General features: G+C 39.9%; 1 protein-coding gene across 8 annotated transcripts in view; it reads right to left on the reverse strand.

Moving 5' to 3' along the window:
* The window catches only part of KIF13B (kinesin family member 13B), a 196111-nt gene that overhangs the window by 114478 nt on the left and 69231 nt on the right, over nucleotides 1-12402 (reverse strand). For all 8 annotated transcript variants that reach the window (XM_011544459.4, XM_005273458.2, NM_015254.4 and 5 more), the window contains 4 exons: nucleotides 9242-9302; nucleotides 6760-6852; nucleotides 4537-4717; nucleotides 164-251 (listed from right to left, as the gene is read on the reverse strand). In XM_011544459.4, coding sequence (XP_011542761.1) covers nucleotides 164-251; nucleotides 4537-4717; nucleotides 6760-6852; nucleotides 9242-9272 — 393 coding nt within the window. In that variant the 5' untranslated portion in view covers nucleotides 9273-9302. The remainder of the gene's footprint in view (nucleotides 1-163; nucleotides 252-4536; nucleotides 4718-6759; nucleotides 6853-9241; nucleotides 9303-12402) is intronic.

A 12402-nucleotide genomic window follows, 5' to 3' on the forward strand; every position in this document is an offset into this window, starting at 1 on the left:
TTGTCTGTGATCAACTATCTCATTTTTAGGATTTTTGTAAAGTGATTTATTAAGTGATGCTATTATATATGCAATTTTTAAAAATAACAAATTAAGCCAAGAAAAAAAAGAGCCCCACCCTACTACACTAAATTTAAATAGTTCACATACAGGATGTTGTTACCTTGTAGCTTGTGACAGCCAGTTTAGAAAGTCCGTCGACATAAGGTCCCAACACACTATGCTCTCTGACTTTCAACGTCTGACGGCTTCTGTTCATGAAAAACAAAGAAATGATTTTTTAACAATAGCCTATTTTTAAAAAGGACTCAGCTCTGCTCCATAAAAATATACAATGAATCCAAGAAAGACCCCAAATAAGTAAAACCAACTGACTTGATCCCAGAAGAATTTAAACCAAACTTTAAAATCTTCACTGCGAAGAAAACTTCATAATGTGATTAAATATCACATCACTCAAAAGGGTATATTGTGGGATGCCTATTTACTTACTACAAAGAATGCAGAGTCAAATAAATATGAACAATCTATTTGTCTTACAGAGAATGTGGTACAAAGAGCAGAAACTCAGTAAATGTTAACTGTGCGAGAAAGGAAAACTACAGACCAGTCTCAGTCATGAAGAAAGACAAACCAAAGACAGTAAACTGAATCCAATGATTTCAAAATACAAAACTGGGCTTATCTCAGGGCTTCTAGGCTATCCACCATTGGAAAAAAGAGCCATGCGCTTTAATCACATTGACAGCCTAAGGGGGCGGAGGAGGGAAGTATGATCATTTCAATAAACGCATGAAAAAAGATTCAATAAAATTAAAATTAAATATTCATTAAGTTTTTTTTTTTTTAAAAGAAAACCCCTCTTAGCAAAGAAGGAACTAATAAACCCAATAAAGGACATCTGAGAAAAATGTAGAGCACAGATAGCATACTTAATAATATAAACCAAAAATATTAAGAATAATAATATAAACCAAAAATATTAAGAATAAACCAAAAAATAAGGGTACAAAGTTTCTGTTAGGAGGAGTAAGTTCTTGAGATCTACTGCACAGCATGGTGACTATAGTCAGCAACATAATGTGTATTTCAAAATTGCTGAGAGTAGACAGACTTTAAATGTCTGCACCACAAAAAAAATGGTAAGTGTGTGAGGTGATGGATATGTTAATTAGCTTGATATAATCATTCCATAGTATATACATGATCAAAACACACTGTACTCCATAAACATATACAATTCTCATTTGTCAATTAAAAATCAAATTATAAAAAAGAATGTCAATGATAAGGTTACTGATTTTCATTTTATATTTTTGTTTATCCTTATTTTAAATCACGAATGTGTGTCCACTTTTGAACTACACAAAATCTTTTTTAAAATAAGTAATAAATTATAATCCTTAAAGTTTGTTTTTTTTTTTTTTTTTTTCCAATGGAGTCTTGCTCTATCACCCAGGATCTCAGCTCACTGTAACCTCCGCTTCCCAGGTTCAAGCAGTTCTCCTGCCTCATCCTCCCGAATAGCTGGGATTACAGGTGTGCATCACCACACCCAGCTCATTTTTGTATTTTTAGTAGACACAGGGTTTTGCCATGTTGGCCAGGCTGGTCTCGAACTCCTGACCCCAAGTGATCTGCCCGCCTCAGCCTCCCAAAGTGCTGGGATTAGAGGTATGAGCCACCGTGCCCAACCAATGCGTCAAGTTTTTGGGTGGTTCTTTGACGCCTATGAAGAGAGGTGCACACTCCTCAGCTTGCTACGCATGCTCCTTTATAATCTGCTCTTGACCACCTCTTAGTCAGCTTCTCCTTATCCTCACCTTAGGCATGAATTAATTTACTTTTATCCATTTGTATTATAATAAACTTTGGGCTCTAGAACAGCAAGAATAATGTCTAATTATTTTGGGAGTCTGCAGTTCCTAGCACAAGTCCTGGCACATAAGAATCACTAAGTGAATGAACAGACTTCACTAACAAAGTGAAGATTAGAGAGATTAAGATGACAGTGAGGACTCCAAATGTGTTAGCTTCCGTCATTTGGAGAGCGAGTGCTAGTAACTAAGAAGGCAGGAGAGGAAGGGAAGAAATGTAGAACACATATAATGAATGACTAGCACAGAAGCTGAACCACATTCAATCACTAACACCCATAATAAAGACAGCAAGAAGAGGATAGTTCTAGAATAACCCTTCATATAAACAGTAAAATCAGGGGATAAGGAAATGACTCTTAAATCTAAAATCTATAGTACCCTAGGATCAACCATTAAAAATGTCACTTATTACCATGTAACTGGATAAAGTAGATATAGAATATTTGATTTACTTCTCGCCCAGGATATAGTCTATTATTGACTTTTTTCCTTTCATATTTCCTTTTTCTTAATGTATCCTCTATTATCTCCTGAGTAAAACAACATAATTACATTACTATATACTAGATGCTGAATTAATATAATTAGTACGTGAATAAAAAATGAAGTTTTCTCAAATGGTCTTTGACTGAAATGAGATCACCTTTAGAGATTTTAATCCATTTACTTTGAATCTTCAGAAACTAAAAAAAAAAAATTTCCAAGAAATTTTCACTGGGGAGATAGCAGCAGCTACCACTTATTGAGCACTTACTGTATGCCAGCAAATGTTCTAAGACCTCAGGTGTATCATCCCAGTCTATCTTCACAACAGCCCTCTGAGATAATTGTATCCTATCATTTCCCTCTTCAAGTTCCCTCTAGGCTGACAAGTTAGGCCTGGAAAGCTTAAGAAACTTGTTCAATAGGTAACAAGTAGAGGACCTAGATCCTGAGCTATGCAAATCCGAAGCTCTTCAGAATTCACTGTTAATTACTGTAAGTAATTACCGTAAGTAAGCTGTTAATTACTAACCTATACCCAAGACAAACATAGGAGAAATTACTAAAGACTGTACATGTGCAGATAAGTTAAAAAGATGCCATACAAGCACTCTGGATTAAGCAGAAGAATGAACAGGTATGAAGTCAGTCAGCTAAGAATTTCTGGAAAGAGTAGGTCTGGGCTGGATCTCAGAAAAGTGATGATCTTTGCGAGGTCAAAGTCCAAGAAAAAGTGTTCAAGGCAGAACAAAGAAAAAAATATACAGGGATATAATATTAAGTAGGATGTGGGTACCTGGACCGTAAGGTACTCTCTAGCCTCTTTGTTTTGGAACATTTTTTATTTTTAATTTCTTTTGAGACAGGATGAATCTCTCATCCTGTCACCCAGGCTGGGGTGCAGTGGTACAATCTTGGCTCACTGAAGCCTCAAACTCCTGGGCTCAAGCGATCCTCCCATCTTGGCCTCCTTTTGTTCCATGTTGACTTCTGTGCATCCTACTCTCCGACCACACTGAACTGCTGGATCATTCTCCAAAGGTGATTAATTTACACCTTCAAGGTGTGGGAGAGGTTGTTCCCTACACCTGAGTAGTTCTCACCCAACTTCCCAGTGGACCAACTTCCCACTCCGCACAAATGTTATCAAGCAAGTACACTCTGGAATCTTCCCTTCTCCTAGGGGCAAGATCAGTCATTGTCCCTTTGCTCTCTAATTTGTAGGAGCCTCCTTCACAAGCTAAAAGCAGATAGCGTTGTATTTTAATTATTTGTTTACAAAACTCTCATTCTGTCCACACTGTGAGTTCTTGCATAGTGCCTGGCATATAATGATCACTCAATAAATGTTTGTTAAGTAAAGTTTGTACAGAAGCACTGAGCATCAATTCAATCTCCCTGTTAGAATCCTAAAGATTATCATCTTGGTCAAGGAAAACTGACAACAGAGAGGAGCTGAGGGTTCTGTTTGCTCTTGACTGAGAGTCACTATGACTCACTGCCTCTAAGATCCTCTTTTCCTTGATCATCTTCCTCATCCAGCAAAACTAAATGTCCTCCTGTTGTCCTGCAAACTTTCTGTAGGCCTCAGCTTATTTGGCTCTTTGACCTTCCTAATGCTGTTTTTACATCAACAAGCCACAGGCTGTGGTCATTATCTCCATCTTTCTCCACTGTTGCGCTTCCTTAAAATCTGAACTCGAAAAACTCTGTGGAATGAACAGATTTCTAGATACCGTGCACTTTCCTCACTCAGTTACAGCTGTAGAGTCAAACCAGCGTTTGTGAAGGCCTCCTAAGACTTCCAATCCAATTCTCTTTACAAGTCTGTGCCATGAAATCATGGGCACTTGTTTTTGTTCCTGAGAATCTTTAAAAACTCACTGTCCTAAAGACTAGGTTTCATCTCTCTGATTATGCCTCTCCCTCACCTCACAGCCCACAAAGAGCTGAATTCCACCTGAAATTTCTTGGGTTTAAAAACAAACAAACAAACAAACAAACTCTTGAGCCCAGGAGTTCAAGGCTGAAGTAAGCTATGATTGTGCCACTGCACTGAAGCCTATGTGACAGAGCGAGACCCTCTGAAAAAATTAAAAAGATTTGCACTTAAGCCAATTTAAGTCTGTTTCAGTTCACAATGCTGAAACACTAAAGTCTCAAAGTCCTTTACCCTTTGGGATCAAGAAGGTCTCGAACTTTTTCATTATAAATTTCCATGTAGGACACTTCTACTTTAAAACTCTGTTCTTCATTTTCCTCTTTCTGAGTTCGTTCAAAGAGTCCACTGCAAAGTCTTGGGATTAATCCAGGTTGGTCAGCTGTGCCCATCATGGTATAAGATTTTCCAGAGCCTAAAAAAATGGAAATCAGAGTTACTATTGTCTCTTTGAGACGTTAAATACATAACCCTCTTTCCGTTGCTCATAATAAACACTTGGCAAAACGCCAAAATGCAGTGAGAAATACACCCAAATATAATGAGAATAATAAGTACAGAAGCTTTTTTACTGCACATGTGAAAGTGAAAAGCAAATGTCCTTTAGAAAGAAAAATAGGCTGGGTGCGGTGGCTCACGCCTGTAATTCCCAGCACTTTGGGAGGCTGAGGTGGGCAGATTGCCTGAGCTCAGGAGTTCGAGATCAGCCTGGGCAACAAGGTGAAACCCCGTCTCTACTAAAATACAAAAAAAAAAGAAAAATTAGCCATGCGTGACGGCACGTGCTTGTAGTCCCAGCTACTCGGGAGGCTGAGGCAGGAGAATTGCTTGAACCCGGGAGGCGGAGGTTGCAGTGAGCCGAGATTGCGCCACTGCACTCTAGCCTGGGCTACAGAGCAACACTCCATCTCCAAAAAAAAAAAAAAAAAGAAAAATAAACTTATTTAATCATCCTCATACTTTAAGAAAATACCTAAAACAAGTGAGAAATAGTGAGGTCTAAAAGTTTTCCGAAATAAGCTGAAAGAGCCATATAATTAATACTATAGTGCCTGCTCCCAACCAGTGATCACAGCACAAAAAATATAGGTTCTCCCTGTGGACCCCAGAGCAAATTAACTCACTACCCTTTCACTATAGTGTGGAAACTAAAGAATAATCTTTTTTCTTATATAAAATTATTTTCTCGGCTGAATGCGGTGGCTCACGCCTGTAATCTCAGCACTTTGGGAGGCCAAGGTGGGTGGATCACCTGAGGTCAGGAGTTTGAGACCAGCCTGGCCAACATGGTGAAACCCCTTCTCTCCTAAAAATACCAAAAAAATTAACCAGGCACGGTGGCAGGCACCTGTAGTGCCAGCTACTCCGGAGGCTGAGGCAGAAGAATCGCTTGAACCTGGGAGGCAGAGGCTGCAATGAGCAGAGATTGTGCCACTGCACTCCAGCCTGGACAACAGAGCAAGACTCCGTCTCAAAATAAAAGATTTTCTCCGTTGTAAAAGAAATATATATTAAATAAAATTTAGAAAACACAGGAAAATAGAAAGAAAAAACTTAAATTACCATAGTCCTACTGCCCGAAAACCAGTAACTACTGACACTTAAGTATAATTCCTTCTGTTTTTAGTAGCAGTGTTTTTGCAAATATGCTTTTAACCTACAAGTTGCTGCTTTTGTCATGCAACATTTTATTGTTATCATAATACCTAAAGCTAATGTGCCACATTTCCTAAGTACCAGGACTTCTGTAAAAAGTTTGCACATGGGAACTCGTTATGACAACCCTACAAGAAGGTCTATGATCATCAGCCTTTCCAGATAAGGACGCTGAAGGGCAGAGAGGTTAAGTAACTGCCCAGGTCTCTCTGCTGGCCAGCTGCAGGAGCAGGACTGGAGCTGTCGCCGCCTGGCCCCAGCTTTCTGCCCTTTCAACACGACACATGAGGCTTCTTGAAAATATCCAACACATTCTTCTGTGAGAACATTTCTAGTTGGACAAGCTGTATACTTTACTCTTACAAAAGTAACTAGTTCACTTCAAATTTTCTTTTCTTGACCACAGAGACTCAAAAGCCAAAAAGCTTCTTAGTTATTACTGGTGAGATATTAACAAGTATGTTCTTTTTGGTATTTTATCTGTTATGGTTCTGAAAGCCTTAAAAAAGCATGATCTATAGGCATGGCTAGTAATGTGTTCAACAGTCATAGCTCTGTATTTTTTCGAAAAACAATGCTGCCAGTGCCTTGTGAGAAAAATCAGTAAAGATAAAAGATCCCAATCCTAATTTTATTACACTCATTTTAAAATAATGTTACTGACTACTTTCAACATCTACAGTACTTTCTGAAAGCAAAAACAACAAGGAATAAATCAGCAATGTTACTCAGTAAAATAAACATGGTTCTATTTTCTTTCATTGATGGTTGTTTATGTGATTTCATGTTATTTAACATTACCAGTCTGTCCATAGGCAAAGATACATGCATTGTAGCCATCAAAAGCATTCTGCAGGATATTCTCTCCAAGGCACTTGAAAACAATATCTTGACCTGAGAGAGAGAGAATAAGAGAAAAGATATTTTAAGCCAAAACTACATATGAACAATTCACAAAACAAAAACAAAAATCTCAAAAATGTATAATCTGCTTATTTATCTCCAAACAAGATTTTTAAATTTGACGAATGCTCCCAAAGGCTTATGCCTTCCAGGTTATTTCTAGTTAGCACATGAGGGAAAATCAGCTCCCTGTAATACATGCTTGAATAAATAAACACGACTAAGAATCCCCTGCAATGCAGAGCCAATGAGCTGCTCACTTTATAATCAATGATTATAAATATCTGAAATTTATACTTGGGACCCAGGTGTACCTGGACTTAACTATTTACCACTCAGGCAATGCTTTTATTCGGTGGGTACCAGAGTTTAGAATAATCATATATACCAACCCCCTCTCCTTTCCCTCAGTGACAATTTCTAATTACAGGATCTACAACACATACCAGTTAGGACAGGGAGTCAGAGCCTGGAAATTTCCCTCAGCTTTCAATCATGGACATAAAGAACAGAGTCAAATTCTCCCCGACAGGCCAAATGAGATATGTCACTAGTCAGTAATTGAATGTGAATCTGACAAGTCACCCTACCTCACTTAGTCTCAATACCACATGGAAGAACTGGATGCTTTTATGTTATGGCAAGGGTATTCCATTATGTCTCATTTCCTTTTTTTTTTTTTTTAATACCAGTTAACTTATACTTCTGATATTGGGCCACCTAGACCAAATGAATCTTAACTTCAAAACAGCCATAATATTCATCTTTCTCATAACAGAAGCCAAAACAATATGATGCTTAATATTTAAAAGAGATTGTTTAAAAACAGGCGACAAAAGCAGTAAGGAATAAAGGCAATCAAAGGCTGTCACTGCAGTCCTAAACTTGTGGTGAGATGGGGCTTGAGACAGTCATCATTTAGAAGAATAATAGAGTAACAGACTTCCAGAGCCAAAAGAAAATTTAGAGAGAATATGGCATATTCCTTTCCATCAAAAAGAGAAAACTGAAGCTCTGACAGGTGAGGTGATTTACTGAAAGGCGCAGGGGCGGTAAGAAGCAGGGCTGGGCCTGCAGCCTAGGGTTCCTTTTCTCCTTGGCCGGTGCTCCCCTTCTTTCACTATGCCATCCTGTCTCTCCAGCCCAGTCTCAGGCCTCCAGGGCAATCTAAGGGGCGACCTTGTGCTCCCGGCCTCATGTAAGAGCTGGGGCGTGTGAATGTGGAATAGCCACTGTGTGTACTAGTGATGTAATTTCATCAACGTATACCAAGAATGGCACACAGTGAATCTCCCATTTTCCAATCAACATTAAAAACTCTAATAGCAAACACGGGAGGGTGTTGTCTGTACTTTCTACAGTTATGCAAAAGAATCCTATGGTACTCATATATATCCTATGGTAATTATAGAGATGTAGGTTACCATCCGCAGTTCCTGGCTCATTAACCCTTGTTGCAGTCTTTTACATGTTGGGGCATTTTAGCCTCAGGAAACTATCTGATCTCCTGCCCTCCTTTTACCTGCCGGAGGCAAGACTCTCATCTGATTGTGGGTCAAGAGCTTCTCATTCCACAAGGTCTTGCCTCATATCCTAAAGGAAGGAATGCTACACAGAATGGCCAAGAAAAGTCTGAACAGACAGGACGTGCTGTGTTCAGTCATGCACTTTTTGTCAAATCACATTTCTAATCGGTTGACAATCATGCCTATATAAGGAAGCCTCCATAAAAACCTAAAAGGACTGGGTTCAGAGAGCTTCTGGATTGCTAAACACACAGGGCCCAATAGGAAGGTAAGAACTCATCCACACGCCGGGAGGGCGCCGCGCCACCTCCATGAGGACAGAAGCTCCTGCGCTTGGGACCCTTCCAGATCTCACCCTCTGTATCTCTTCATCTGGCTGTTTACCTGTCTCCTTTAAAGAAAATCCCTCGTAATAAACCCCTAAACACAAGTGTTTCCCTGAGTTCTGTGAGCCGCTCTAGGAAATTAATCAAACCCAAAGAGGAGGTTGTGGGAACCCTAATTGGAAGCCAGTAGGTCAGAAGTTCTAGAGGCCTGGACCTGCGCTGGTGGGAAGGAGGGAGCGGTCTTGTGGGACTGAGCCCTCAGTCTGTGGATCTGACGCTGTCCCCAGGTAGAGAGCATCGGAACTGAGTTAGAGGACACCCAGCCAGTGTCTGCCGCTTGGGGTGCAGGGAAAACTCCCCCAACATTTGGTCACATTAAGTCATCTTCTGTGTTGATGACTGTTATTGTGGTGTGACAGCAGAGGAAACACACAGTTTGGGGGGTTTGCCAAGCAATCGTGTAAGGGAAAAAATACTGAACCCCTCTTCTACACCATCAGTAGTTGACAGGATGCTGGATTCTATTACCTGCATACTTTTCTTTGACAGATTCATCCATAGACCAGAAACAATGATCATAAGCAAACACCTGTTGAAAATGAACATAAGTGTGTGTTAAGAAAACCTCAACATTACTTATAAACCATAACTGATAGAACTGTTCATAATAGTGAAATAAAACAACTTACTGTCATACAATGGGAATTAATTATGTATGTAGAGGCTTACAATGAGAACTAAACATGCTATAGGTGATATGACTCTATATTTTACATGGAAAACTATTCACAAAATGTGTAATAAAATGGCTATTGCACACACACATGCACCTACAGTCACACACACAGAATTACATCTATAGTTTATTTTTTTGCAGCGAAATTAGTGATCTGTTTCATGTTTTTATATTTTTTCAATATTTTTATTTTTGTAGTCAAAGAAAAAGATATTTTTTAAATAACATTTAAAGATGCTCACTATAGCATGTCCAAAATAGCTTAAAATAGCAGAATGTTTACATAAATTATGACATGCCCATGTGCAAGTATAGATTTGAGGGTATAGAAGACTTACTAATTTAAAAAAAGTTTATGTTAATGAAAAAGTTATAAAAGTCTAGAGTATGATTCCATATTTGTACCAAAAAACTATATGCATAAAAAGCAGGAACAATCTGTATTAAAATGCTACTTGGTGGGATCTTACAGATGATCTGTTTTGATCTTTCACCTTATCACCACTTTCTAGAATATCACATAGTTCTTTTGCACTGTTTGAAAAGCTTCTTTTTCACTAATTATTTCTTTTTAAACCAACTAAGCAAAGGCAAATTTTTCACTGACTGCATCTTTCACTTTTTCGATTTCTGTCAGTTTGAAATCTACTTACTTGTGTTTTGTGATTTTTATCTCCGTAAAGATTTTAAGTGCAATTGTTTTAAAATGTATCTCGGTTCACATTTTGTCACATTCTCCCACTTTGGGAGTCTGTTGCTATGCTTCCTGATGATGGTTTGCATGTTAGTTTGCAGGTACATCTTAGCAGGGAGTGTTTATTTTATGGTTTACATGATTGCTTATTTTTTCCTCTCCTGATGGCCACCTTTCCATGACTAGTTTATGCTGTCATTTCCATTACTGAAGCCCAGATTTTGGGTCTTCTCAAGGCCCAATGTCTCCATCCCTTCCTATTAACACAGACATTAGCTCAATGTTGGTGGCCAAAAACTGACTGTAAGCTTTCACTCACAGAGAAGGCTCGCCCAAATCAGTTTTCACATGGTGAGCCTGGCTCCAGTCCCCAACCATACACCAGTGCCCCCATTAGTCGGCAAGAGTTGAACTTCCAATCACCTCCAGGCACCTGGTCTGATTCCAAAGCCCTGGAAATATGTCACTTCAGCCCTCGCTTACTGCTGGTCCTTGAAGTTATATATGTTGTTGTTGTGTTTTTCTAGTTTTGTGTAGAGATGGGGTCTCACTATGTTGCCCAGGCTGGTCTCAGACTCCTGGCCTCAAGCAATCCTCTAGCCTCAGCCTCCCAAGTACTGAGATTACAGCTGTGAGCCACCATGCCCAGTCTAAATTTGTTTTTGAGTTTGATTACATGATTCGCACATTCTAAAATATTTTATCTATCTCTGCTATAATTTTGATGTTGGCAGGAGAATGTTTCTGTGTAAACTCACAAGATTATCTGGACCAGAAGTCTAAAAGGTTAATTTTTTTAAGAAAGAAAATTAGGTTAAGATGGTAAATTAATAATGCATACTGATATCCATCACCCAGCTAAAATTAACTCAAAACGACAGGCGATGGGGGAAGTGGGGAAATTGCCAAAAAGGAAGAGAAGGGGGAAAAAAGAACAAGGTTTTGAAACCAAGAGTGCTTGCTTGTGCCTGGATCAGAATTGAGAAACTCCTGAAAAAATAGTTCCAATGAAACTGATGGGGGTAAGGGTGGGGGCCTGCAGGGAGAGCACAGGCTGCAAAGCCAGTGAGCAGTTCTGGGAGGTACCAGAAGGGCAACTAAAGGGGGAGGCAGATAACCCTGGCAGCAACCGAGAGGACGACTGGCTCAGCACCTCTGGACAGGTGAGGATCGGCACACCTGCATCTCTGTGTGAAACAGCAGGCAGGGGAGACACCTGTTCCCTGGATGGGGCTGTGAGAAGGAAGCGAGGCCAGGAAGTGAAAGCAGACCCCCAGCGGCTGACAGCCCCTGAGAGCCCTTGGGCCCAGAAGACATCATCCAGCTGCAGTGTTGTGTTACACACTGCTCACCCTCCATGTTTTTCCAAAGCTAAAACGTATATCTATCAGCAGTGGTGGCTCACTAAGCCATTTTCAAACACAGAGGAGCAAAAGGAGGAGGATGGAAGATGGCCCCAAAGGACTGGGCATCAAACTGGGGGGAGCTGCCTTGCAAACTCCAGGTGTCACCCATAGTGAGAATCATTACAGCAGAGTAGGAGTAAATAAAATGTGGAGCTCAAACGAAGTTTCTCCTGTTCTAGCTTTCCACGCTTATCTCCATAATTTTATTTAATTAATTCTGTTCTTAATAAGGCTAAGTAAAAACCATCCTGATTCTTGTAAGCTTAGTTCTCACTTCAAAAGCCCTATCACATGTGTATACAGTCATCCCTCAGTATCCTGAGTGGGACTGCTTCCAGGACCTCCCATGAATACCAAAATCCACAGATGTGCAAGTCCTTATATAAAATGGTGTAGTATTTGCATAAAACCCACACATATCCTCCCATATACTTCAAATCATCTCTTGATTACTTAAAACACCTAAGACAAAGTAGATGCTATGTAAATAGTTGTCATACTGTACTGCTTTTTACATTTTTACTTTTTTTTGAGACGGAGTCTCGCTCTGTCGCCCAGGCTGGAGTGCAGTGGCGTGATCTCAGCTCACCGCAAGCTCCACCTCCCAGGTTCACGCCATTCTCCTGCCTCAGCCTCCTGAGTAGCTGGGACTACAGGCGCCCGCTACCACGCCTGGCTTTTTTTTTTTTTTTTGTATTTTTAGTAGAGACAGGGTTTCACTGTGTTAGCCAGGATGGTCTCAATCTCCTGGCCTCATGATCCGCTGGCCTCCGCCTCCCAAAGTGCTGGGATTACAGGCATGAGCCACCGCGCCCGGCCCTAAATTTTTACTTTTATTGTTGTATTATTTTTC

The sequence above is a fragment of the Homo sapiens genome, chromosome 8 (assembly GCF_000001405.40).
Source record: "Homo sapiens chromosome 8, GRCh38.p14 Primary Assembly".
Taxonomy (NCBI): domain Eukaryota; kingdom Metazoa; phylum Chordata; class Mammalia; order Primates; family Hominidae; genus Homo; species Homo sapiens.